At 47.1% G+C, this 26,814-nt stretch overlaps 1 protein-coding gene across 6 annotated transcripts, besides 9 other annotated features; it reads right to left on the minus strand.

Moving 5' to 3' along the window:
- Positions 1–836: 836 nt before the first annotated feature.
- F11R (F11 receptor) lies at positions 837–26,778 on the minus strand. Of its 6 annotated transcripts, none has more exons than NM_001382733.1 (10): positions 26,636–26,778; positions 6,911–6,979; positions 6,646–6,753; positions 6,257–6,403; positions 5,772–5,974; positions 5,502–5,604; positions 5,266–5,343; positions 5,022–5,034; positions 4,669–4,717; positions 837–4,532 (listed from the first exon to the last, which is right to left on the minus strand). In NM_001382733.1, exons 1-10 carry the CDS (start codon positions 26,697–26,699, stop codon positions 4,497–4,499), a joined length of 870 nt encoding a protein of 289 aa, NP_001369662.1. In that variant the 5' UTR covers positions 26,700–26,778; the 3' UTR covers positions 837–4,496. The 6 variants fall into 6 exon arrangements, with proteins under 6 accessions (NP_001369662.1, NP_001369659.1, NP_058642.1 ...); NM_001382730.1 differs by having other exon boundaries at positions 837–4,517; positions 5,266–5,373; NM_016946.6 differs by having other exon boundaries at positions 5,266–5,373.
- Positions 11,617–12,126: an enhancer, noted in NCBI's record as "H3K4me1 hESC enhancer chr1:160975781-160976290 (GRCh37/hg19 assembly coordinates)". NCBI's record gives its function as "activates a minimal SCP1, AML or CMV promoter by ChIP-STARR-seq in primed H9 embryonic stem cells {active_cell/tissue: H9 hESC(primed)}" and the evidence as "EXISTENCE:reporter gene assay evidence [ECO:0000049][PMID:30033119]".
- Positions 12,127–12,636: an enhancer, noted in NCBI's record as "H3K4me1 hESC enhancer chr1:160976291-160976800 (GRCh37/hg19 assembly coordinates)". NCBI's record gives its function as "activates a minimal SCP1, AML or CMV promoter by ChIP-STARR-seq in primed H9 embryonic stem cells {active_cell/tissue: H9 hESC(primed)}" and the evidence as "EXISTENCE:reporter gene assay evidence [ECO:0000049][PMID:30033119]".
- Positions 12,637–13,145: an enhancer, noted in NCBI's record as "H3K4me1 hESC enhancer chr1:160976801-160977309 (GRCh37/hg19 assembly coordinates)". NCBI's record gives its function as "activates a minimal SCP1, AML or CMV promoter by ChIP-STARR-seq in primed H9 embryonic stem cells {active_cell/tissue: H9 hESC(primed)}" and the evidence as "EXISTENCE:reporter gene assay evidence [ECO:0000049][PMID:30033119]".
- Positions 19,110–19,259: an enhancer, noted in NCBI's record as "active region_1965". NCBI's record gives its function as "activates an Ori minimal core promoter by ATAC-STARR-seq in GM12878 lymphoblastoid cells {active_cell/tissue: GM12878}" and the evidence as "EXISTENCE:reporter gene assay evidence [ECO:0000049][PMID:35858748]".
- Positions 19,670–19,889: an enhancer, noted in NCBI's record as "active region_1966". NCBI's record gives its function as "activates an Ori minimal core promoter by ATAC-STARR-seq in GM12878 lymphoblastoid cells {active_cell/tissue: GM12878}" and the evidence as "EXISTENCE:reporter gene assay evidence [ECO:0000049][PMID:35858748]".
- Positions 21,531–22,128: an enhancer, noted in NCBI's record as "H3K27ac-H3K4me1 hESC enhancer chr1:160985695-160986292 (GRCh37/hg19 assembly coordinates)". NCBI's record gives its function as "activates a minimal SCP1, AML or CMV promoter by ChIP-STARR-seq in naive H9 embryonic stem cells {active_cell/tissue: H9 hESC(naive)}" and the evidence as "EXISTENCE:reporter gene assay evidence [ECO:0000049][PMID:30033119]".
- Positions 26,019–26,148: an enhancer, noted in NCBI's record as "active region_1967". NCBI's record gives its function as "activates an Ori minimal core promoter by ATAC-STARR-seq in GM12878 lymphoblastoid cells {active_cell/tissue: GM12878}" and the evidence as "EXISTENCE:reporter gene assay evidence [ECO:0000049][PMID:35858748]".
- Positions 26,159–26,208: an enhancer, noted in NCBI's record as "active region_1968". NCBI's record gives its function as "activates an Ori minimal core promoter by ATAC-STARR-seq in GM12878 lymphoblastoid cells {active_cell/tissue: GM12878}" and the evidence as "EXISTENCE:reporter gene assay evidence [ECO:0000049][PMID:35858748]".
- Positions 26,509–26,758: an enhancer, noted in NCBI's record as "active region_1969". NCBI's record gives its function as "activates an Ori minimal core promoter by ATAC-STARR-seq in GM12878 lymphoblastoid cells {active_cell/tissue: GM12878}" and the evidence as "EXISTENCE:reporter gene assay evidence [ECO:0000049][PMID:35858748]".

A 26,814-nucleotide genomic window follows, 5' to 3' on the forward strand; every position in this document is an offset into this window, starting at 1 on the left:
ACCACAACTGGCAATTTTTGTATTTTTCATAGAGACAGGGTTTCACCATGTTGGCCAGGCTGGTCTTGAACTCCTGACCTCAAGTGATCTGCCTGCCTCAGACTCCCAAAGTGCTGGGATTATAGGTATGAGCCACCGCGCCCGGCCCCAGCATTACTTTTAATGTTCTCTCTCCTCAAACCCAGATACCCACCTCTACAAAAAAAAAGTTAACTTCTGTTTCCACTCCTCCTCCTTCATTCTTTTCCATTCTGGGTCACTGAGCAGGATATAGGTTACCCAACCTCCCCTCCCCAGGATCTTAATCCCGGACCTACCATTTGCCTAGTACTGGTTGTGTGAACTTGGGCAAATTCCTTAGCATTTCTCTGCCTCTCTTCCCCATCTGAGAAACAGAGATAGTAATAGTACCCAGTAAATAAGTTAATGGATGATAGTAGTAAGAAAAAATGGGCTAGGCACGGTGGCTCACACCTGTAATCCCAGCACTTTGGGAGGCCAAGGTGGGTGGATCACGAGATCAGGAGTTTAAAACCAGCCTGGCCAAGCTGGTGAAACCCTGTCTCCACTAAAACTATTAAAAAAAAAATTATCCGGGTGCAGTGGCAGGCGCCTGTAATCCCAGCTGCTCGGGAGGCTGAGGCAGGAGAATCGCTTGAACTCAGAGGGAGAAGTTGCAGTGAGCTGAGATCGCTCCACTGCACTCCAGCCTGGGTGATAGAGTAAGACTCAGTCTCAAAAAAAAAAAAAAAGAAAGAAAAGAAAAGAAAAAATGTTCCGTTTCATATCAGATTTTCATAGCTAGTACCAGAGAAGGGGTAATAAGCTGGAAAAGCTAAAGAATTGGATATTTTTTAATGCAAATTGTTGTTTTTCTTCATTTGTCTACTTTATTAAGCTGTCCTCAGGCCCCAAGAAACATACTGTCCCCTCATTTAGAAACAGACTAACTCCGTTTTCCTCCACTATCCCCTCCCCTGTCCTTGATCTGTAGATCCTGTTAAGACAGGAAAAACAGTGTTGGTCAAAGGGTACACGCTTTCAGTTACAAGATGAACAAGTTCTGAATACGTAAGATAGAACATGGGAGGTGATGTGGCCGGGTGCAGTGACTCACGCCTGTAATCCCAGCACTTTGGGAGGCCGAGGTGGGCGGATCATGAGGTCAAGGGATCGAGATCATCCTGGCCAACATGGTGAAACCCCGTCTCTACTAAAAATACAAAAATTAGCTGGGCATGGTGGCACACGCCTATAGTCCCAGCTACTTAGGAGGCTGAGGCAAGAGAATTGCTTGAACCCAGGAGGTGGAGGTTGCAGTGAGCCAAGGTTGTACCATTGCACTCCAGCCTGGCAACGGAGCAAGACTCCCTCACACACACACACACACACACACACAAAAATGGTGATGTGTTAATTGACCATGGCAATCATTACACAAATGTATGTGCATATCAAACCATGTTGTATACTTTGAAGAAAATAAAAAAACGACAGGAACAACAAACACATCCTTAACACTCAATCATTTTATCCCAGATTATGCTGAGTTCATGTCTCAGGGGAAACACCAAAATCCATGGAACTGCTCTCATTTTTTATCCCCTAAATGTCACTTTAACATAGGAAATGTCCATTGTGGGGTTATTTGCATTTAAACACAGGCCAATGAAAAAAGCTAAATTAAAACGTAATTATCAAGGTAATGGAAAGATATCCTAATCTCTTAATTAACAAGACTATCAGGAATATTTTGAATGTCCAATCACTCTAGGAGTCCCAATTCTCTTAAGGTAAGAACTTCAGGATTTAAACAAACTCAATGTGAAAATAAACATTTATTATAAAAATTAGTTTTGACATTTTAAAGTGAATGCAGACAAGGTGTTTTCCAGTTCAAAAGGTCCATTGTAAGCTAGAGAAGTAAATTCCAAGGCTGGCAATAACTGACTCATATTCTTCACAAGTGGCCTAGACAATAAGGAACCATTCACCTCAAATTCACAGAGCCATGAATCACCTCTGCTTCCCCATGACCTTTTCCATATCCTTCCTACTCTGTCTTCCAACCATGACACAGAACTGAAACATACTTTAAAAATCTCATCCTTGGCTAGGCACGGTGGCTCACATCTGTAATCCCATCACTTTGGGAGGCCAAGGCAGGCGGATCAAGAGGTCAGGAGTTTGAGACCAGCCCGACCAACATGGTGAAACCCTGTCTCTACTAAAAACACAAAAATTAGCCAGGCATGGTGGCACGCACCCGTAATCCCAGCTACTCAGGAGACTGAGGCAGGAGAATGGCTTGAACCCGGGAGGCGGAGGTTACAGTGAGCCAAGATCATACCACTGCACTCCAGCCTGGGTGACAGAGCGAGACTCCGTCTTTAAAAAAACAAAACAAAACAAAACAAAAAACAACAAACTCATCTTTACTGAACCATTTCATAAGCTCTACTTTATTTGTCTAGTTGGATTTCATTTCTTCTGGAAAATTTATTGTTTATTGGCATGTGACCCTTGACTGATGGCTTCATTAGCATTTTGTTTTTCTTTTTGGATCCTTAATAGAAAACTCAATTCTGTTAGGGATTTCCAAATAGGATAGGGCAAAGTCGCACTTAGTATATCCTCCACAGAAAGAAAGAAGCAAAATCAAGCCAAGAGGGCCCTTTACTTGTCCTCTTGCTAAGTTAATAAATAGACTGGTGGATGGTGGTAGATGGAGAAACAAAAATGTAAGGGCAGAGAAGGGTCCAAATGGGGAGGAAGAAAGCAATGACAGCCAGGCTGTCCGGCTCATTCCTGTTCATTCACATGCAGACCACCCATGATCTGGTCTTCAAATTTCTTCTGAATTCCACCCCACTAAATACAGTAGCAGTTACTACTTTAAACTACTACTAAAGCACTTGTTCTCCAAATGACCTGAGAAATCCCCTTGCCTCAGCTCTGGGACAGTAGTTCCTACAGCTGTAGGGAGGTCTGTTAATGCACCTGGCTGAACAGGAGGTACAAGAGTAAGTACCTTCTCTCACTTGGTGGAACAGGCCAAGGAGATCCCCCAAGTACAGCATCAGCTTCACCCTGTGTACCTTCCTCCAGCAAAGGAAGGCCTGGCCACAAGAGGGCTCTGGAATGAAGGCCTGAAATTCAGAAGCTCTGCCTTGAGATAAGAACCAGGAAGGGGCAGGACCAGGCACTGGGAACCAGCCCCAGGTTGCTGGGAAGCAAGGCTTTGAGGCATTTTCCTGTTGTACAAAGGAGCCTAGGAACCCTCAAAGACCTTTTCCCCTACTTACTTCCCACAAAAAAGAGCCTTGACAAACCAAGGTTTTATTTCCAGCAACATTCAGCTGATACAAACACATAGAAATACAATCTCACCAAAGAGCTAAGAAGCCCTCCAACACACGCCCAATTTCAGCATACAGCTAAGACTACACAACACACACACAAGCTCAACAAAGAGCTAAGACCACTACACACATCTCCACAGCACCACAGGCACATCTCAAAAGGGTCTGTCCAGTAGTTCCAGCCAAGGGAAGGGTGATGGCCTAAGCCACCAGCTCCAGCTTTCTTTTCTTTCTTTTTTTTTTTGAGCTGGAGTTTTGCTCTTGTTGCCAGGCTCCTGAGCAGCTGGGATTACAGGCATGCACCACTATGCCTGGCTAACTTTGTATTTTTAGTAGGGTTTCTCCATGTTGGTCAGGCTGATCTTGAACTCCTGACCTCAGGTGATCCGCCTGCCTCAGCCTCTGGGATTATAGGCGTGAGCCACTGCGCCCAGCCTCCAGTTTTCTTTTCTTTAGAGCAGCGGTTTTAAATCCTTTTGGCTTCAAGTTCTCTGAAAATTTACTATGCTCTCCACAACAAGAGCTCCCATTTTCCACAGACACAGTCAATGTCAGTCAGCTTGTATTCAGGAGGACAGGGCAGAGGGATCCCAGTGGCACTTCCCATGGGAAGACAGAAGAGAGTGGGCCCCAGAGATGGAAGGACCCCAGTGTCATCACCAAACAACCATTTCAGCCGCTCTAGCCTCTAATTCCCGCTCTAGAACAGCTGGCCCTGGTCGTCAGTACACAAGGAAAGAGCCCAGAACCAAGCTCAAGATACCTATTCAAAGATCCCTGCCAGCCAGGTGGGCAGTTGAGTGCAGATTCCTGCGACCCCCGCCATTTTTGCTGTCTACTTAGAAGGGAAGTCAATGGCATACCCAGGATTCCTTCCTGATCCCTCAAAGAAATGGGGAATAAACACTTTAAACAAGTTCCAGGCCACTCAGCAGTGGTAGGAAAGGGAGGGAGGGCATGAAGGAGGATGGGGCACATAGCTGACATTATTAAAAACACATCCGAAGAAGTAGGGGGCCCTGTGGGGTGTAGAAGACAAATAAGGCATCCTGTGAAACTACAGACATCAGGGGCCAGAGTCCGGTAGCACCTGAGTAAGGCAAATGCAGATGATAGGCGGTGAGCCGACCAGGCTCACACCAGGAATGACGAGGTCTGTTTGAATTCTCCCTGCAGAAATAAAACATCCAGTCAACTCTCAATAGTCTTCTTTAGCTGATAATCCCCAAAACACATAAACATGGGCTAGAAATCTCCTCACTCCAGCCCCAGGTGGCCCACCCCTGCCCAGGGGAGGCATACTCACTTCACTTCGGGCACTAGGCTGGCTGTAAATCACCTTCTTACTCGAAGTCCTGTGAACAAGCCAGAAGACAGAGACACTCAGCCACCTAGGTGCTTATTAACCTCCCCTTGCCAACTTTAAAGGCCAGAAGCGAGAATGCTACAGAAGCACAGAGTGCGCAGCAGACAGGTATGGGTGGGGTAACAGGACAGACCCAGGGCCAAGGCCACAGAGAAAGGGCTGGATATCCAAATGCCTTCCCTCCAAACTGGTTGCTTCTGCCTTCAACCCATTCCCCTAGGCCCACTTCAGCTTCAAACCACATGCATCCATGCTCTCAAACTTGGAGAACCCCAGGACAGCACCTCACTCACCCTTTCTTTGTTCCTGAAAGAGAAGAAATGGGATCATGAGTGTCAGCAGGACAGAAGACAGCATGGCTTGGGAAGATGGAGGGGCAGGCCCCCAGCTCTTGGTGTTAGATGGGTGATCAGTGTTCCCCAGGGGACAACACCCACACACATGAGCACAGTATCAGGGTCAGTACTCAGATGACACCCATGCCAGGCCCTGGGATGGGGGCAGTACAAAGGAGAGCCTCTGGGGGCAGATACTTACTGTCAAAGTGGCCTCGGCTATAGGCAAACCAGATGCCAAAAACCAAGATTCCCAGGAGAATCAGGGTTACAAGGACGGCTGCCACGATGACCCCCACATTCCGCTCCACTGCGAGACACAAATAAGAAGTCAGGCACGGGGATACTCACTCACGGCACCTACAGTATCACCAATGGCAGGATGAAAAGCAGACCCCAATCCCCACCCCAGGTCTGGGCTCAAGCCCTAACTCTCACCAGCTTCCATGCGCACAGCATTTGAAGTCATGGGTGTCCCATACCCATTCCGTGCCTCACAGCTGTATTCTCCAGTATCAGAGGCTGACAGGGGATCAAAGACCTGAGGAAGGAAAACAAATTGGCTTCCTGCTGAAGAAGCAAAATAGACATTTTTTAATGTCTCTTGACCCCAGTTCCAAGTTCACCCTGTTGCCTGTTCTTCCTCCCACCTTTTGGGGTTCTATAACTGCATCCCCCACACATCTTTCACCACCACCCCATACATACCAGCTCTCCTGTTGTGGGATTCAGGACATAGGAAGAGTTGCTGAAGGCACGGGTGCTTTTGGGATTCGTAGGCATCACTATCCCATCTTTGAACCAGGTGTATTCAGAAGGTGGGGAACCATCTTGTTCTGAGCATGTCAGCACTGCCCGGTTCCCAATGGTGGCAGAGGAGGGGATGTTAACTGTAGGCTTGGATGGAGGCACTGTGGAAGAGAAAGACAGAAGGTGCTGAGTACAGGGTGGGGGCTGCTTGAGTCTAAGTAACCAACTACAATGGTACCCCCAACTACTCAGCTCAAGCCTCCTACTCTCACCATGCCCCTGGCTGCCACCTAACCAGGGGCTCATCTCCCTCTCTGGCAGCTCCAGGACTCTGAATAGCCCACCTGTGGGTATTCTCACCATCAAAGAGCTCCAAAGTGCAGCAGAGCCTGCTATGAGAAGTAACTAACTCCAGGCCCACCCAGAAGACATGGGGCACGTACCAAGCACGATGAGCTTGACCTTGACCTCCCCATAGCTGTTGCCGCCTTCCTCAGAGACCATACAAGTGTATGTCCCAGTGTCTTCCCGTGTCACGGACTTGAAGGTGATACCAGTTGGCAAGAAGGTCACCCGGTCCTCATAGGAAGCTACCACAAGAGGAGGCAAGAGCAAGGACAGAGTGAACTGGAGAGCTAAGGGAGGCTGATGAAGGGGGCATCCAAGGTACGCAAGTGCTCTCCTCTTCCCCCAGAAAGGGGGGTAGGAAGGCCATGAGGACTTCAGCCCCAGGGTGTGCCCTGGGATAAGGGCACAAAGTCTGGATCGTAGAATCCAGGCATGATAATCCCTCCACAACCTAGGCAATCAGGAAGGAGGAGAAGCAACTCACCTGTGATCTTGTTATTATAGCAAACGAGTCTGGTGGTGTCTCCTTGGTCAAACTTCCACTCCACACGGGGAGAAGAAAAGCCCGAGTAGGCACAGGACAACTTCACAGCTGCAGACAGGGTCAAAATGAGCCGAAGGAAGAAGCAGCAGCAAATACACGAGATGGGGAACAGCCCCAAACTGCAGGCTGGGCTGGGTGCTCTCTAGATCCCCAGGCGGCCGGCAACTGCTCACCCTCACACCCTCCATGGCCCCTCCCAACTCACGATTATTCTCAGGAATTCTGACTTCAGGTTCAGAAGAGTGCACTGTAACACTGCCCAATGCCAGGGAGCCTAAGGAGAAAGAAAGAGGTGGGCCCTGTCAGGAGTGGACAGAGAAATGCCAGGAAGAAGGAGTCACAGACCCAGTGGACAGGGCTTCTCCATTCACAGACCCTAAGAGGAAGGGATTCCAGACTTATGCTCCCTCTGGCTCTCACACTTTGTCACCATGATCCTAAATGTCTTCTTTAAGTGCTTTTTGCTACAATTGCCAGCTAATACTTCTTTTATCCATGGGAATGCAGTTTCTTTTGCTTCTAATTTTTCTCTCTGTGACTCCCAATAATCTAATTAGATTTCTACTAGTCCAAGGGCAGCTTCCAGAATGACATTTCACTGTTCAGAGAAAGCTTCTCAACAAATGATTGCAGCCACTTGTCAGGACAATCCTGGAAGGAAGCCAGCAGGGCTGGAGGCAAGGGATGGAAGGGAAGGGCAGAGCCATGATGAGGATAATAATAATACTCGACATTTGTGGAGCATGTGGTGCTTTTAAAAGTGTTTTCGTGTACATTATGACACGTTGCATCATTTGATCCTGGACACAAGCATGACAGATCGGCAAGACGTATATTATTATCCCGAGTTTACATGAGGAACTGAGAGTACAAGAAGTAAATGTGCCTAAGATCACACAGCTGGGGCCAGGTGCGGTGGCTCAGGCCTGTAAACCCAGCACTTTGGGAGGCCGAGGTGGGGAGGTCATGAGGTCAGGAGTTCAAGACCAGCCTGGCCAATATGGTGAAACCCCATCTCTACTAATAATACAAAAATTAGCCAGGCATGGTGGCACACCTGTAGTCCCAGCTACTTGGGAGGCTGAGGCAGAAGAGTCGCTTGAACCCGGGAGGCGGAGATTGCAGTGAGCCGAGATCGCGCCACTGCCCTCCAGCCTGGGCGACAGAGCAAGACTCAATCTCAAAAAAAAAAAAAAAAAAAAAACACACAACTGGTTCTGAGGTGAAGTTTGCACTAGAAGTGGGTTCAGATCACCTCATTAGAATATTCTACTTGCCAAATGGAGAAAGAAAAGAAAAGATAGTGTGTGCTGGGTGGAGGGAGGGAGAAGCAACAAGGCTAATTAAATAATATGGGGGAGGTGCATCAGGGTTCATAGGAGGGACCCACAAAGGTCAAATTAAGAACCAGTGACCAGGGATTCTGGGATCACATGATGCAGCTACAAACCTGCACTTACACAATTATTCTCATCCATGTTTTCAAAGTCAAATTCATGAAATATCCTTTTATTTGTAGCTTCAAGTCAGGACCCTGTCTTAGATAAATGTTTGTAGAAGTCAAGCACATCTGTTAAATTCAAGTACATTTTTCTTTTACTTAATTATGCACATAACTGAATATGGTCTCTTGACCTCTGAGACTCCCCTTCCTCTCTGAAATATGAAATAGATGTGCTCTAAAGTCCTTTAGGTTCTTTTTTTTAAATTTTGGCATTAATGTTTAGATAATATTTGTATACCTGTATTTCAATCTGATATAATAACACTATGAATTAGTCCAGATAAGTATTCTCTCTCCCATTTTATAGATAAGAGACTAAAGATATAGGTTACTCCTATATCCTTTTTCTCTTATTATACTCTCTATTTATTTGTTTTTTTTTTTTTTGAGACGGAGTTTCACTCCTGTTGCCCAGGCTGGAGTGCAATGGCGCTATCTCAGCTCACTGCAGCCTCTGCCTCCCAGGTTCAAGTGATTCTCTTCAGCCTTCCAAACAGCTGGGATTACAGGCGCTTACCACCATGCCGGCTAATTTTTGTATTTTTTTTTTTTTTTTTGAGACAGAGTTTCGCTCTTGTTGCCCAGGCTGGAGTGCAATGGCGCAATCTCGGCTCACCGCAACCTCCACCTTCCGGGTTCAAGGGATTCTCCTGCCTCAGCCTCCCAAGTAGCTGGGATTACAGGCATGTGCCACCATGCCCGGCTAATTTTGTATTTTTAGTAGAGACAGGGTTTCTCCATGTTAATCAGGCTGGTCTCGAACTCCCGACTTCAGGTGATCCGCCCGCCTCAGCCTCCCAAAGTGCTGGGATTACAGGCGTGATTAAGCCACTGCACCTGGCCTAATTTTTGCATTTTTAGTAGAGATGGGGTTTCACCACGTTGGCCAGGCTGGTCTCAAACTCCTGACCTAAAGTGATCTGCCCGCTGCAGCCGCCCAAAGTGCTGGAATTATAGGCGTGAGCCACGGCGACCGGCCTAATTTTCTTTTTTTTCTTTTGTTTTTTTGTTGAGACAGAGTCTCACTCTGTCGCCCTGGCTAGAGTGCAGTGGTGTGATCTCGGCTCACTGCAACCTCTGCCTCCCACATTCAAGAGATTCTCCTGCCCCAGCCTCCTGAGTAGCTGGGATTACAGGCGCCCGCCACTACGCCTAGCTAGTTCTAACTAGTTTTTTGTATTATTATTATTATTTTTTTAAGATGGAGTTTTGTTCTAGTTGCCCAGACTGGAGTGCAGTGGCGCAATCTAGACTCACCACAACCTCCGCCTCCCAGGTTCAGGAGATTCTCCTGCCTCGGCCTCCCTAGTAGCTAGGATTACAGGCAGGCGCCACCATGCCCGGCTAATTTTGTATTTTTAGTAGAGATGGGGTTTCTCCATGTTGGTCAGGCTGGTCTCGAACTCCTGATCTCAGGTGATCCACCCGCCCTGGCCTCCCAAAATGCTGGGATTACAAGCGTGAGCCACCGCGCCCGGCAATTTTTTGTATTTTTAGTAGACAGGGTTTCACCATGTTGTCCAGGCTGGAATTTCTTTTTTTTAAAGAGCTGGGTTCTTGCTACATTGCCCAGGCTGGTCTAGAACTCCTGGTCTCAAGCAGTTCTCCTGCCTTGGCCTCCCAAAGTGCTGGGATTACAGATGTGAACCATCACGCCTGGCCATATAGCATGGTTTTCAAAAAAGAAGGGTATAGGCTGGGCACGGTAGGTCACACCTATAACCCCAGCACTTTGGGAGGCCAAAGAGGGCAGATCACTTGAGGTCAAGAGTTTGAGACCAGCCTGGCCAACGTGGCGAAACCTTATCGCTACTAAAAATACAAAAATTAGCCAGGCGTGGTGGCGCGTGCTACCTGGAAGGCTGAGCAAAGAGAATCACTTGAACCCGGGAGGCAGAGGTTGCAGTGAGCTGAGATTGTGACACTACATTCCAGCTTGGGCAACAAAGTGAGACTCCGTCTCAAAAAAAAAAAAAATTAACCAGGCATGGTGACACATGCCTGTAGCCCAGTAACTTGGGAGACTGAGGCAAAAGGACTACTTAAGCCAAAGAGTGGGAGGTTACAGTGAGCTACAATCACACCAATGCATTCCAGCCTGGGTGCCTGGGTGACAGAGCAAGACCCTGTCTCTAAAAAACATAAGAAAAGAAAACCGAGCTGTTTCTTAGAAAAACCATAGGTTTAATGAAAAAAAAACTAATAAAAATATTTCTAATGATATTATTTTATTTATATATTTGCCATTACATTTTTAATGTCAAATTTATGCTCAAATGTAATAATAGATATGGAGGCTGAGCACGGTAGCTCACACCTGTAATTCCAGCACTTTGGGAGGCCGAGGTGGGGAGACTGCTTGAGGGCAGGAGTTCGAGACCAGCTTGGCCAACGTGGCGAAATCTCGTCTCTAGTAAAAGTACAAAAACCAGCCAGGGGTGGTGGCACTAGCCTGTAATCCCAGCTACTCGGGAGGCTGAGGCAGGAGAATCACTGAACCCAGGAGGTGGAGGCTGAAGTGAGCCTAGATAGTGCCACTGCACTCCAGCCTGGGTGACAGAGCAAGACTCTGTCTCAAAAATAAAATAATAATAATAATAATAATAATAATAATAATAGATATGGAAATTAAACCAAATAGCTTTTATTAAATTGAAAATTCTTCCTGAGGACACATAAGTCTCCTCCCTTCCTCCCTCCTTCCTCCTTCCCCTCCCTCCCCTACCTCCCCTATCTCCTCCCTCCTTTCTCACTCTGTTGCCCCGGCTAGAGTTCAGTGGCACCATTATGGCTTACTGCTTAGGGCCCAGTGTTGGCCTGCTGGGCTCAAGTGACCCACCTCAGCCTCCTAAGTAGTTGGGACTACAGGCCTCTGTCTCCCGGGTTCCAGCAATTCTCCTGCCTCAGCCTCCTGAGTAGCTGGGATTACAAGCACGAGCCACCATGCCTGGCTAATTTTTTGTATTTTTAGCAGAAACAAGGTTTCATCATGTTGGCCAGGCTGGTCTCAAACTCCTGACCTCAAGTGATCCACCCGCTTCGGCCTCCCAAAGTGCTGGGATTATAGGCCTGAGCTACCGCACCTGGCCTGCCCAGCTAACTTTTACAATTTTTTTGTAGAGACCAGGTCCCACTATGTTACCCAGGCTGGTCTCAAATTCCTGAGCTCAAGCAATTCTCCTGCCTTGGCCTCCCAAAGTGCTAGGATTACAGGCGTGAGCCACCATGGCTGTGGAAGTCTCTTACTCAACTCTCATTAAGAATGCTAATAGGCTGGGCATGGCAGCTCAACAGCCTGTAATCCCAGCACTTTGGGAGGCTGAGGCGGGCAGGTCACCTGAGGTCAGGAGTTTGAAACCAGCCTGGCCAATATGGCGAAACCCCATCTCTACTAAAATACAAAAATTAGCCGGGCATGGTGGCGGGCAACGGTAATCCCAACTACTTGGGAGGCTGAGGCAGGACAATCACTTGAACCCGGGAGGCGAAGGTTGCCGTGAGCCAAGATCGCACCACTGCACTCCAGCCTGGGTAACACAGTGAGACTCCATCTCAAAAAAAAAAGGGGGGGGGCACTTCTGTTCCAAAGTGTTCCAAAGCTGTCTGTGGGATAGGCTGAGGCCTCACCAAGACTATAACGCAAACTTGGCCTCTCCCTCTGTCCAACTTTGCTTCCTTCCCCTCCTTTCCACGGGCGTGGATCCCAAGTGCACTCCCTAATAAATGTCTTGTATGATTATTGACATCTCAGAGTCAGCTTCCCAAGAACCCAACCTATGGCACCACCCAAATGAACAGCAGCATCTAATTAGACTAAAAACTAGCCTTTGAAATAAACACACATATACACACAAATCACAACATGTGAATTTGATGGTTGTTCCTCCACCACTTCTGGTTTAGCTAAAGTTCTTTGTTGAGTCCTCTCAGATCATCACATTCACACCACACATATACAAACACGTTGGGCTACAGGCATATTACCCTTTTCTTCATTAATCCGCACTGCCATCACCTGGTCTGGGCTTCTGTTATTTTGTTTCAAATACACGAACCTCCGCCTTAGTGTCCTCCCACCCACCTCTGTTGCAGGATTAACTACGTCTGCCTGTGACCTGACTGTGCCAATACTCCCAAGGTGTATTGTGATTGCCTATCACATCATGAGTCAAGGCCAGCCTTATCACCATGTCCTTCCCATTCACCACAGGACACCTCAGCCATCCTGGTCCACATTCCCCTTCTCATTCTTGAACAGGCCCCTGGAACCAGACTGCCTGCGTTCAAATCCCAGCTCTAGGCTGGGTGCGGTGGCTCATGCCTGTAATCCCAGCACTTTAGGAGGCGAAGCAGGTGGATCACCTGAGATCAGGAGTTCGAGACCAGTCTGGCCAACGTGGCAAAAATCCGTCTCTACTAAAAAATATATATATAAAAATTAGCCGGGTGTGGTGGCACATGCCTGCAATCCCAGCTACTTGGGAGGCTGAGGCAGGAGAATCGCTTGAACCTGGGAAGCAGAGGTTGCAGTGAGCTGAGATCGTGCCATTGCACTCCAGCCTGGGCAACAAGAAACTCCGTCTCAAAAAAAAAAAAAAAATGCTGGGCGCAGTGGCTCATGCCTGTAATCCCAGCACTTTGGGAGGCCAAGGCGGGCAGATCACCTGAGGTGGGGAGTTCGAGACCAGCTTGACCAACATGGAGAAACCTCGTCTCTACTAAAAATACAAAATTAACCAGGCGTGGTGGTGCATGCCTGTAATCCCAGCTACTCAGGAGGCTGAGGCAGGAGAATTGCTTGAACCTGGGAGGCAGAGGTTGCAGTGAGCCAAGATCGTGCCATTGCACTCCAGCCTGGCCAACAAGGGAGAAACTCTGTCTCAGAAAAGAAAAAAAAAAAAAAATCCCAGCTCTGTTACTTACTAGGCTATGTGACCTGGACAAGCCACTTGGCCTCCTCAAATCTGAGTTTACGCATCTGTAAAATGGGGATAATAACAGTTTCTACATCAAAGGGCTGTTCTGAAGGCTAAACAAGCTAATACTGTACAAATAAAGTGCTTAGAGCAGTGTCTGAACAGGAAACCCCAAATAAGTATTATATTTTATGATTATCATCATCTGTTCATAGGCCCTTCTGTACACATACTTCTTTCTGACTTCAATGTTTTCTTCAACAAGACATATAAATAAAGCCTGAAAAGTGCCTACTCCAGCCTACCAAACCATATCTCCCCTGTCATTGCAGCTGCCTTGGGAAGGCGGCCCCTTCTCTAGAACCTTCACAGCTGTACCAGCAGAGCTAGGAACTTGCTCTCACTGAATCCAATCTACATCAGGACACTCACAGTTTCCCTGTCCATCCTCCTCATCTATTTCATATTTTCCCGTGCCTCTTCACAGCCCCCCTTTTGCACTTAACCTTGGGCCCATACATACCATACTGTACACACACATGCAAATGTCCTACTGATGTACGTGGTAAACGAATAATAGAAGGAAATTCCATCCTTTCCATTGTCAAGTTTAATTTTCTCTAAGTTCACAACAAGAAAAGCCACAAAGTTAAAGGCATCAATAGATTTTGGCCTGCTTAGGTTTTGGGCCCATGTATAGAAAGTCCATTCTCCAGCCAGGCACGGTGACTCACGCCTGTAATCCCAGCACTTTGGGAGGCTGAGGCAGGCGGATCTCGAGATCAGGAGATCAAGACCATCTTGGCTAACACGGTGAAACCCCATCTCTACTAAAAATACAAAAAATTAGCCGGGCGTGGTCGCAGGCACCTGTAGTCCCTAGTCCCAGCTACTCCGGAGGCTGAAGCAGTAGAATGGCGTGAACCCGGGAGGTGGAGCTTGCAGTAAGCTGAGATGGCACCACTGCACTTCAGCCTGGGTGACAGAGCGAGACCCCGTCTCAAAAAAAAAAAAGAAAGTCCATTCTCCATTCCACTACTGGATGAAGTGCTAGCATTTATTGAGCACATACTATATTTGAGGCACTGTTGTAAGCATATTATATGTAATATCATTTAATCCCTGCAACAGCCTTTAGAGTTGGGTGATTCTATCGTTATCACCCATATTTACATGGGGAAACTGAGGCCCAGAGTAGTTAAGTAACTTGGCTAAGGCCACACAGTGAGTGGTAGTGCAGATTCACACCAATGCAGTCCAACTGCAGAGGCTATACAATGCTACACTATACTATACAGCCTTCCTAAAAATGCAAATCTGATACCTCCTTTAAGCTTTTGATGATTCTACATTGCTTATATGATAAAATCCAAATTTTTCTGCAAGCTAAGAAAGTTCCAATAATCCCTATACTCTGCCAAACGCCCACCTCCCTCTCTCCCACCAGGAAGTGCTGGAAGAAAGTTCCAGCACTATCTGACCCCTTGATAAGGTTATCATCTTCATCACCCACTCTACTGTTGCAATTTACCCTCTAGCAATACAAAACTACTTAAAATTCCTAGCAAAGTCTGGGCTGTTTCACAATCTCTGCCTTTGCTCATGCTATTTCTGCTATGTAGAACACCCTTTTCCCCCTCTTTATCTGGGCAGCAGTATTCATCCACATTATTTTCTGGAAAACGACCTCCCACATGCCCAGTCCTCACCATAGCCTCACCTAAGCCTCTTTCCTAGGCTTTAATTATCCCATGCAAAACACTGTCAAAGCAATTCCCACATTATAATGACATCATCTGTGTACAAGCATGTCTCCCATGGTAAACCCCAAGTGAAAAGGGACCATGTGTTATTTAATATTCTGAGTATCCCACACTTAGCATAATAAAACTGGTACAAGTTGACATTCAATAAATGTTTTCTCAGCCTGGGCAACACAGTGAGACCCCCATCTGTACCAAAAAAAAAAAAAAATTAATCAGCTGCAGTCATGCACGCCCATGAACGCCTATAACACTGAGGATGTAATTCCTGGAAATTACTACGTACCTGAATAATAATAATGAAACAACTGTGGCAAATAGTATTTTCCAAAACAGCCACATCTATCTATATATTTATCTCCTCCCCCATGCTCTACTTACATTGTGACTGAGGTGGAGTCTAAGTTAAGTTTCCTCCCCATGGGCCGGGTGCGGTGGCTCACGCCTATAATCCCAGCACTTTGGGAGGCCGATGTGGGTGGATTGCTTGAGGTCAGAAGTTTAAGACCAGCCGGGCCAACATGATAAAAATTACAAAAATTAGCCAGGCATGGTGCATACCTGTAGTCCCAGCTACTTGGGAGGCTGGAGAACCACTTGAGCCCAGGAGGTGGAGGCTGCAGTGAGCTGATATGGTGCCACTGTACTTAGTCTGGATGACAGAGCAAGACTCTGTCTCAAAAAAAAAGTTTCCTCCCCATGAATCTGGGAGGGTCTTATGATTGACAATGGCATAATGGTAGAAGTGGCATATTATTAATGTTAGGCCTTATATGCATTTTCTCACTAAACTCTTAAAAAAAAAAAAAACCTATGAGACAAGTACCATTGAAGATTGAAGTACTACCGTTACCATTTCATTTTACAGATGAAAAAACTGAGGCTTAGAACAGTTGACCCAGGCCAGGCATAGTGGCTCACACGTGTAATCCCAGAACTTTGAGAGTCCGAAGCAAGCGGATCACAAGGTCAGGAGTTCGAGACTAGCCTGGCCAACGTGGTGAAACCCCGTCTCTACTAAAAATACAAAAATTAGCTGGGCATGGTGGCAGGCGCCTGTAATCCCAGCGACTCAGGAGGCTAAGGCAGGAGAATTGCTTGAAGCCGAGAGGGGGAGGTTGCATTGAGCTGAGATTAAGCCACTGCACTCCAGCCTGGGTGACAGAGCGAGACTCCATCAAAAAAAAAAAAAAAACAGTTGATCCAAACCATATGGCTACAAATAGCAAGGTAGGAATCTTAACTCTGCCTGATTTTGAGGCTCTAAAACTATTATGCTATATGTAGCTTTATTGGACAAGCAAGGAAATCCCATGTATCTTTCAAGATCCTGTTCAAATGTCTATTGATCTCTTATACCTTTCCTCAGTCAAAATTAATCTCACCCCAATTTCTAGGAATATAGCCTAAGAAAGCAATCAAAGATAAGTTTAAATATTTTGGCTGGGTGCAGTGGCTCACGCCTGTAATCCCAGCACTTCGGGAGGCTGAGGCGGACGGATCACTTGAGGCCAGGAGTTTGAGACCAACCTGACCAAAATGGTGAAACCCCATCTGTACCAAAAATATAAAAATTAGCTGGGCGTGGTGGCAGGCACCTGAATCCCAGCTACTTGGTAGGCTGAGGCTTGAACCTGGGAGGTGGAGGTTGCAGTGAGCTGAGATTACGCCACTGCACTCCAGTCTGGGCGATAGAGTGGGACTCCATCTTAAAAAAAAAAAAAAAAAAAAAAATTCATGTACAAGAACAATTTAACGTTATTTAGGTTTCATTGTTCGTTTTTTTTGGAAACTGAGTCTTGCTCTGTCGCCCAGGCTGGAGTGCAGTGGCGCGATTGTGGCTCATGGCAACTTCCACCTCCCAGGTTCAAGAGATTCTCCTGCCTCAGCCTCTCCAGTAGCTGGGATTACAGGCACACACCACCATACCCAGCTAATTTTTGTACTTTTGATAGACACGGGGTTTCACCACATTGGCCAGGCTGGTCTCAAACTCCTGGCCTCAAGTGATCCGTCCGCCCCAGCCTCCCAAAGTGCTGGGATTACAGGCATGAACCACCATGCCCAGCCAATTTAATGTTATTTAGTATAACAAAGAAAAAAAAGAAATCTAAATGCCCAACAAAAGGTGAATAAGTAAATTATGATATAGCCATACTTTAGGAATAATGTAGAAAGGACCTTAAAGTATATTTTGGGCCAGGCGCGGTGGCTCACACCTGTAATCTCAACACTGAGAGGCCGAGACAGGTGGTCAGGAGTTCAGGACCAGCCTGGCCAAGATGGTGAAACCCCATCTCTACTAAAAATACAAAAAAATTAGCCAGGCGTAGTGGTGGGCACCTGTAATCCCAGCTACTTGGGAGGCTGAGGCAGAGAATTGCTGGAGCCCAGGAAGTGGAGGTTGCAGTGAGCTGAGATTGTGCCACTGCACTCCAACCTGGGTGACAGAGCGAGATTCCACCTCAAAAAAAAAAAAAAAGTATATTTTGTAGGAAATATAGACGTATCTCACACATTAATTCATAAAGACTAGAATGAAACACCAGTAATAAGTGTTTATCTCTAGATAATAGAATTACATGTGATTTTATTTTCTCCATAGTCCTTTGCATTTTCCTATTTTTCTACATGGAGCATGTATCACTTTTTTTAATAAAACAAAAAGCTTATATCTTTAAAAAGTTACTCTCTTCTCGTCTATGCTCCTAAAACATTTTGTACTTTGTTGACAGCCCCTGGCACACGCTGCTCTGTACTCTACCTAGTCAATACGTGTCTGCAGTTTCTTGAGTTCTGCTTGTATCCTTCCCCAGCTCCCAGCACTACACTTTGCACAGAGGAGGTGCTCGATGAACTGCACCAAAGCACTGCTGGGGTGAGAAGATGGTCACAGAAGGCAGAGGCCTCCAGACTCTTAACAGAACCCACCAACAACCATCCCTTGTACGTGAAGGGTCAGGTCAGACCCATAACAGAAAAGGACCTACTTCCTTCTACTACTTTGCTAAGAAACCTTTAGTTTTTTCTAGATATCCTGTTAATTATTAGAATTTTCTGGCCAGGTGCAGTGCAGCAGCTTAGGCTTATAATCGCAGCATTTTGGAAGGCCAAGATGGGAGAATCACTTGAGCCCAGGAGTTCAAGACCAGCCTGGGCAACATAGAAAGATCCCATCTCTATGCCTCAGGGATATCAATAACAAAACATAAAAGAAGAAATACAACATAAAAAAGAATATAACAAATTTTAAAAAGAGAGAGGCTCTGATCTCTATAAAAATAAAAGAAAAAAAGAATTTTCCTTGAGTTGCTTTTGTGTCGTTTGAATTAATTAATTTTATTTATTTATTTATTTATTTATTTATTTATTTATTTTGAGACAGAGTTTTTGCTCTCGTCACCCAGGGTGGAAAGCAATGGCATGATCTCAGCTCACTGGAATCTCTGCCTTCTGGGTTCAAGCAATTCTCCTGCCTCAGCCTCCCAAGTAGCTAGAATTATAGGCACCCACCACCATGCCCGGCTAATTTTTGTATTTTTGGTAGAAACAGGGTTTCACCATGTTGGCCAGGCTGGTCTTGAACTCCTGACCTCAGGTGATCCACCCGCCTCAGCCTCCCAAAGTGCTGGGATTATAGGCGTAAGCCACTGCACCCGGCCGATTTATTTATTTTTAACTTTAATTTTAGGCTCAGGGGTACATATGCAGGTTTGTTATATAGATGAATTACATGTCGTCGGGGTTTGGTGTAAAGATTATTTCATTACCCTGCTAATAAGCAAAGTACCCAAAAGGTAGTTTTTCTATCCTCACCCTCCTCCCATCCTCTAAACTCAAGTAGGCCCTGGTGTCTGTTGTTCATTTAGGGAAAAAAAAAAAAAAGAAGAAAGAGGAGGAGGGGGAAAAGGAGGGAAAACAGTCAACCAGTCTCTCTCTGGTTTTCTCTAAGAATTCATCCAAACTTCCCTCTGGGCATATGAGACTCACAAGACCCCCCAGTTGCCAGGGAGCTGGAGCCCTGCAATAGGAAGGATGAGTCAGGGCCTCCTCACCCCACCAGCTACAGCATACCCAGTTTAACTTCATGTTTTCCCCCTAATCTCTAGCACAGTGCTCAGAACATAGTAAACACCAATGTTTGTTGGATTAACAAGTGAATTTCACACTGCAATACAATTAGAACCTGGACCTAGAGCTTCCACTCTGGTTTTCCCCTTCCTCCCCACCACTCACCCTGTAGAGATTGAAGTAACTCCCATAAGGGTTGGCCTCCTCGTAAAGATCAAGAGGCTCCATGGGCCAGGGAAGTTCCACAGGGAAGGGCCTTTCCGGGGTTTGGGGTAGAACAGTTTAGAAATGTGTGAGCAAGAGGAAGGCTCTGTGAGGCCAACAACAGGCTGGGCTATGTCTAAATAGCCATCCTTGGCTGCACTTTCAGTGATGTCGATCAGCTGGCTCGGGTCCTCTGAGGATGGCAGAAAGTGGTAATGGCAGGGTAAGACAGGCTCGCTTTCACTCCCTGGCTCCCTCCCGCCCTCTCTGCAGAATTTCCGGTTCTACCTGCTCAGCTCCCCCGCCACCCCATCTTCCCAGTGCAAGGGAAGGTCGAGCCTTCCAGCGCAGGACTTACTTCAGGGGCCCAGCACCCACTTCCTGCCAGCCAGCTGCTTCCTCCTGTTCCGCCCCTACATTGTGAAACAAATGACGCAGCCGGACTTTAGACAGAAACCCTGCTTATCAGGGAGTCCAGGCAGATGAACTCTGGGTTCTCAATGCCAGGAAAACCCTAGTGTGTATCCACTCTCACAGTATGTGTTCACTCATACTGCTTTCCACAACCGTCACACAATAGTGAAACCTCATCCTCAATTATGTTGGACGCAAGGTCATCCAGGTCTTTCCTGAATCTCTGAAACAGAAACTGGTTTGAGTTTAGAGATCTCCAGGGTCTCTAGTCAAACCTAACAGATGTGATAAACAAGTCTCATTATTATCACATAAAATGTGCATGGCATTTAAATCTATTTTTGGGTGTGGTGGAAACGTGTGTTGCCCATTTATGTGTCCACAGAACAAGTGCAAATTGAACTCAGCTGACTTGGAGGGGGGTGGGATGTATCCTAACAGCCAAGGCCACAATCCCTAGAAACCAATATGGGCCAGGTGTAGTGACTCATACCTGTCATTCAGCATTTTGAAAGGCCAAGGCAAAAGGATCCCTTAAAGCCAAGAATTCAAGACCAGCCTGTACAACAGATGAGACCCTGTCTGTACTAAAAAAATAAAAAATTAGCCAGGTATGGCTCACCACTCACACTTGCCTATAGCCTCAGCTATTCAGGAGGCTAAGACTGGAGGATTGCTTGAACCCAGGAGGTCAAGGCTGCAGTGAGGCCAGGCACGGTGGCTCATGCCTGTAATCCCAGCACTTTGGGAGGCCAAGGCAGGCGGATCACTTGAAGTCAGGAATTCAAGACCAGCTTGGCCAACATGGTGAAACCCTATCTCTACTAAAAATACAAAAATTAGCCGGGCAGCTCACACCTGTAATCCCAGCACTTTGGGAGGCCAATGGGGGCAGATCACAAGGCCAGGAGATCAAGACCATCCTGGCTAACATGGTGAAATCCCATCTCTACTAAAAATACAAAAAAAAAAAAAAATTAGCAGGGAATGGTGGCGGGTGCCTGTAGTCCCAGCTACTTGGGAGGCTGAGGCAGGAGAATGGCGTGAACCCGGGAGGCAGAGCTTGCAGTGAGCCGAGATCACGCCACTGCACTCCAGCCTGGGTAACAGAGCAAGACTCCATCTCAAAAAAAAAAAATTAAATTAAAAAAATATGTACAAAAGGCTGGGCACAGTGGCTCATGCCTGTAATCCCAGCATTTTGGGAGGCCGAGGCAGGCAGATCACGAGGTCAGCAGATCGAGACCATCCTGGCTAACACGGTGAAACCCCGTCTCTACTAAAAAAAATACAAAAAATCAGCCGGAGTGGTGGCGGGCCCCTGTAGTCCCAGCTACTCGGGAGGCTGAGGCAGGAGAATGGCGTGAACCCGCGAGGCGGAGCTTGCAGTGAGCCGAGATTGCTCCAGTGCACTCCAGCCTGGGTGACAGAGCCAGACTCCATCTCAAAAAAAAAAATATATATATATATATATATACACACACACAAAAATTAGCCAAGAATGGTGGTGCACGCTTGTGTCCCAGCTACTCGGGAGGCTGAGGCAGGAGAATCACTTGAACCTGGGAGGCAGAGTCTGCAGTGAGACAAGATCACGCCACTGGACTCCTCCCTGGGCAACACAGCAAGACTTTGTCTCAAAAAAAAAAAAAAAGGCTGCAGTGAGCTATGATCATGCCATTGTACTCCAGCCTGGGCAACAGAGTGAGACCCTGTTTCAAAAACAACAACAACAACAACAAAACTCCATGATATATATATATAAGCAAGATGTAGAATATATGTAGTATGCCTCTTTTTGTGTCAGAAAGGGGAGAAAAAACAAGTATTATTTATATATACTTGTATCTGTAAAATGAAACACTGAAGAGACATTAGAAACTATTGGGGTTTGGGGTGAACAGGAGCAACATGGGAATGAGATACCCCACCCCTTTGATATCATTTTAATTATAAAACCATGTCAATTAACCTATTCTAATTAAATTTTTTTAAAAAAAATCACAGTAGCTCTATCTTGAATCGGAACTGGGCTGGAGACTCCACAAGACATGATCACAAAGGAACTGAAGAGCAACATGGTGAGGTAAAAGTGGTCTGGAGTGGCCAGGTGCAGGGGTTCACGCCTGTAATCCCAGCACTTTGGAAAGCCTAGGCAAGAGGATTACTTGAAGTCAGGAGTTCGAGACCAGCCTGGCCAACATGGTGAAAACCCGTCTCTACTAAAAATACAAAAAATTAGGGGCCGGGCGCGGTGGCTCACGCCTGTAATCCCAGCACTTTTGGAGGCCGTGGCGGGCAGATCATGAGGTCAGGAGATCAAGACCATCCTGGCTAACACAGTGAAACCTCGTCTCAACTAAAAATAGAAAAAATTAGCCAGGCATGGTGGCGGGCGCCTGTAGTCCCAGCTACTCAGGAGGCTGAGGCAGGAGAATGGCATGAACCCGGGAGGTGGAGTTTGCAGTGAGCCGAGATCGTGCCACTGTACTCCAGCCTGGCGACAGAGAGAGACTCTGTCTCAAAAACAAATAAATAAATAAATAATACAAAAAATTAGCCGGGCGTGGTGGCGCGTGCCTGTAGTCCCAGCTGCTGGGGAGGCTAAGGCAGGAGAATCGCTTGAAGCCGGGAGGTGGAGGTTGCAGTGAGCCAAGATCATGCTACTGCATTCCAGCCTGGGTAACAGAATGAGACTCCGTCTCAAAAAAAAAAAAAGTGATCTGGAGCCAGAAGGCAAAGACTAAAGGACACTGAAATTCCACTGCCACTCGTTTCCTAGTTCCAGGTAGAACTAGGAAGTGCCAGTCACCAGTTTCTAGTTTGGAGGGAACAATTCACTCCTGGGAGTAGAGGGAGAGGAAAGGAGGAGTGACTCACCAGTGTGGGGAAAAGCAAGAGAGATCAGATTGTTACTGTGTCTGTGTAGAAAGAAGTAGACATAGGAGACTCCATTTTGTTCTGTACTAAGAAAAATTCTTCTGCCTTGGGATGCTGTTAATCTATGGCCTTACCCCCAACCCCTTGCTCTCTGAAACATGTGCTGTGTCAAACTCAGGGTTAAATGGATTAAGGGTTGTGCAAGATGTGCTTTGTTAAACAAATGCTTGAAGGCAGCATGCTCCTTAAGAGTCATCACCACTCCCTAATCTCAAGTACCCAGGGACAAAAACACTGCGGAAGGCCGCAGGGACCTCTGCCTAGGAAAGCCAGGTATTGTCCAAGGTTTCTCCCCATGTGATAGTCTGAAATATGGCCTCGTGGGAAGGGAAAGACCTGACTGTCCCCCAGCCCAACACCTGTAAAGGGTCTGTGCTGAGGAGGATTAGTATAAGAGGAAGGCATGCCTCTTGCAGTTGAGACAAGAGAAAGGCATCTGTCTCCTGCCCGTCCCTGGGCAATGGAATGTCTCGGTATAAAACCAAGACATTGTACGTTCCATCTACTGAGATAGGGAAAAACCGCCTTAAGGCTGGAGGTGGGACATGCGGGCAGCAATATTGCTTTGTAAAGCATTGAGATGTTTATGTGTATGCATATCTAAAAGCACAGCACTTGATTCTTTACCTTGTCTATGATGCAAAGACCTTTGTTCACGTGTTTGTCTACTGACCCTCTCCCCACAATTGTCTTGTGACCCTGACACATCCCCCTCTCAGAGAAACACCCACGAATGATCAATAAATACTAAGGGAACTCAGAGGCTGGCGGGATCCTCCATGTGCTGAACGCTGGTTCCCCGGGTCTCCTTATTTCTTTCTCTATAGTTTGTCTCTGTGTCTTTTTCTTTTCCAAGTCTCGTTCCACCTTACGAGAAACACCCACAGGTGTGGAGGGGCAACCCACACCTTCACACCAGTCTACGGTTTTGAGGTATGCCTGCCCCTGAAAGGGCAAAGCTAGAAGGGCTTGAGTCAGAAACATCAATAGTAAACACTGGGACTCAGAGAATGACCCAGAAGCAGGGCAGCAGTTCTGCCCTGCCCACGCGGAACTCTTCAGTGATGATACCACACTCAAGGAAGGGCAGGGGAGCAAATGCCAGCATTCCAACCCAGGTTTCCCTCTCTCCCCTGTGGTTACACTGTAAGTTGACCTATCCACACTCACCTCTACTGTGTCTCTCCCTACCTGGTAGACAGCTGAACCTTTTCTAAGGGACAGGTTCCCTAGGGAAAGGGAGGCTAGTACTCTGGGTCATCAGTTTTACTTTTCCCAAGTCCAGCTCTCCCAGTGTCTACCCTCTGGATCTCTGCCCCACAGGGTCAGGGTTTCCCCTCCATTAGGTTCCCCAAGCTGGGGCCAGGCCTTTGCCTGACTTGTCAGTCCTATCTTGCCTTTTCTACTTCCTCCCTGACAGCAGAGCCCACAATGAAGAACAGGGAGAACATATGGGCAACCTATCCACGCCTCTCAGGGACAGTGGACAAGCTAGACACCCAAGAAAAAGCTCCTGCTTTTTGATTTCTGACTCTAGCCATTTGGGATCTCCCTGCTTCCTTTTTTACCTACTCAGCTAGGGACAGCATTCTGGCATTCTTCCATCCTCACAAAATCCACAGGGGATAACAGCTGCCCAAAAATAATCCCTTCATGTATATGTAATGTAACTATTATGCTGGTTGATCCTCCTGACAAAGGTGGGACAAGTATTACTGCTATTTTACAGATGAAAAGACTGAGCTACTGCCTAAGATCACAAACAAGGCAGAGAGAAAGCCAAGCTAGAATGCAGGTATGGTGGCCCAGCTCCCATTTCCATCCTCATTTGCACTAACCAAATCACTCCCCTCCCCCAACCCAACCCCAGATCTAGCCTGATTTAAAAGTTACAAGGTCAGTTCCTCCATCCCCTGGACAAGTCACTTCCCAGGACCCACTGTCCTAACAGGCTAATGCGACATCATCTCAGGTTCCCTCTGCACTACTGTGGCTTGGTTCCCTGAAGACACCTCCAAGCTCAAAATGGTGTTATCATGACCTTCCAGTGCCAGTATATGATTATTTTAGGATTATCATAAATAATATAGGAAATTAGAGGGAGAAAAAAGAAAGGAAGCAGTGGCAAAGGATAGGGAGTAAGCAGCTCCAGGAAGCTTTTAAGCCTGACAAATACTGTCACAGACAAACACTGTTACAAATACAGTCACTCACACAGAAGAAACTTCTGGGCTTAGGGGAAAAATACTGGCACAGTACAAAGGTTGGAAAAACCTTTAGTACCAGAACCACATAACCAAAAATTGACTATGGGTGTCACTAGCAGTTCTAAAATACAGGCAGAAGTAAAATAGGCAAGGGGTAGGGAAAAAAGGGAAATTAAAGAAAAGGGAACTCAAAGAGTAGAAAAAAAGGAAGACATGGCCAGCCGCGGTGGCTCACACCTGTAATCCCAGCACGTTGGGAGGCCGAGGCGGGTGGATCACCTGAGAGCAGGAATTCAAGACCAGCCCGACCAACATGGTGAAACCCCATCTCTACTAAAAACAAAAAATTAGCCGGGCGTGATGGTGCATGCCTGTAATTCCAGCTACTCGGGAGGCTGAGGCAGGAGAATCGCTTAAACCCGGAAGGCGGAGGTTGCGGTGGGCCAAGATGGCACCATTGCACTCGAGCCTGGGCAACAAGCGAAACTCTAACTCAAAAAAAAAAAAAAAAAAAGAGGGAGACATGAATGAAGAAGCTAGTGGGAAAGTAAGTTTAAAGGTAAGTAAGACAGTAGATTCTGAAGCAGTATCCCAAACAGTTCTTGTGCTATAGGGTGCCTGAGATGCTGGATCAAAGAATGGAAAAAGGAAAAGCAAGTCAAGAGGGTTTGGTTCCATTCCCAGGTTCCACCCCTAACTCTATTGTCATTGAAGTCATTTCCCCTTTTGGACTTGTTTCCTTATCAGTAAAATAGAAAGAGGATGATATATGCCTCTGGTCCAATCTCTCCCAAGGGTTTATGTTGTGATAAGGTAGAAATGAGCAGTCAATCCATCTAAGGGCAGGGAATCTACATACACCAAACTGATTGTAATCATTCATTTAACACTTTCTAAAACAAGAACCTTGGGGGTGGGGGGAGACTCATGTAGAACACATACTGACACAACTACTCACACAACGACACGCACACTCAAGAATCAGATAAACACACAGGTACTGCCACAGGTTGACTAACGCACAAACCAACCGACTAAACGCTCAGCCCCACACAAACACATCTAGAGACAGAGGCATGCCCTAGCAAGTGAGCCTCATTGTTCCTCAGGAAAGGGAGTTTACAAAGGAAACAAAAACTCTCATACACAGCCAGAGGGAGGGCAGAGCTCTGGCTCTGATGAGAATCCAGCCAACCAACAGATACACTCTCCCCCTGGGAAGAGTCACTCAATCAACAACACGTATTAAGGACTCCTGAGGTAGTTATTCCATAAAGGAACTTCGCTGGAACCTCTGCTGCGCTTAGAGAAATTTCAGGTTTCTATTGCATTTCCTCTTTAGACTGTGCACCCAGACATTTTCCCAGAGCAACCGCCGCAATTCAAAGATTCAGAAGAGCCAGAGACTCCTTCAGCAAAAGCTAGGGGAAGAGACTTCCACCCCAGACCACCTCCATTTGATTTTCTTCGAAGACCGTTAAAGGAGCCAAGGCTCCCGGCTGCGCAGCGGGGTTCGTGGATGCTGGGTGGCCGTTGGAGGGGCAGGCTGGCCCTTCCCAGGTGCGTGTGGAGCGCGCGCTGGGTAGATGAGTGTGGAAGGGTCCTTGGCCCGACGGCCCTCTCCAGTGAGGACGAGGAGTGTACCTCTGGTGTGTGCAGATGGGTCAGCTCCCTCCTGGTGGCCGTGAGGGGTGCGGTCACAACTCACCAGTGTGGGGGAGGGGAGCCAGCCACTCACCCAGCTGTGAGAGTGGTGAAAGAGGGACCAGCCAGGGGTGGAAAAGATAATTCGCAGAACGATATAGGAAGGTTTCTGAGCTCCTCCCCTCCCGCGGGCTAGGGGCGTGGGGAGAGCCTTCCTCCAACCTCTGACCCGACCAACCGATTCCTCCCGAAACTCTGGGAACTTACACAACAGGATCGCCAATATGAAGAGGCACAACAGTTTCCTCTCGACTTGCGCCTTTGTCCCCATCGCGATCAGGCTCCCGACACAACAGCCGCCGAAGGACTCCTGGGAACAGACACAGCTCCGCGACTACAGCGAGGGGACTGAGAGCCAGCCGCCAGGTGGAACCCCGCCCGGCCCC

The sequence above is a fragment of the Homo sapiens genome, chromosome 1 (genome assembly GCF_000001405.40).
Source record: "Homo sapiens chromosome 1, GRCh38.p14 Primary Assembly".
Taxonomy (NCBI): domain Eukaryota; kingdom Metazoa; phylum Chordata; class Mammalia; order Primates; family Hominidae; genus Homo; species Homo sapiens.

Excerpts from the sequence above, each read along its gene's own strand:
- F11R (NM_001382727.1), bottom strand. The coding sequence starts at position 26,699 with ATGGGGACAAAGGCGCAAGTCGAGAGGAAACTGTTGTGCCTCTTCATA. Across the intron at positions 6,754-6,910 it reads CAGAATTCCTGAGAATAATC|CTGTGAAGTTGTCCTGTGCC; the intron begins GTGAGTTGGGAG and ends CCCTGTCTGCAG. Across the intron at positions 5,374-5,501 it reads TGCTGTGCGCATGGAAGCTG|TGGAGCGGAATGTGGGGGTC; the intron begins GTGAGAGTTAGG and ends TGTGTCTCGCAG.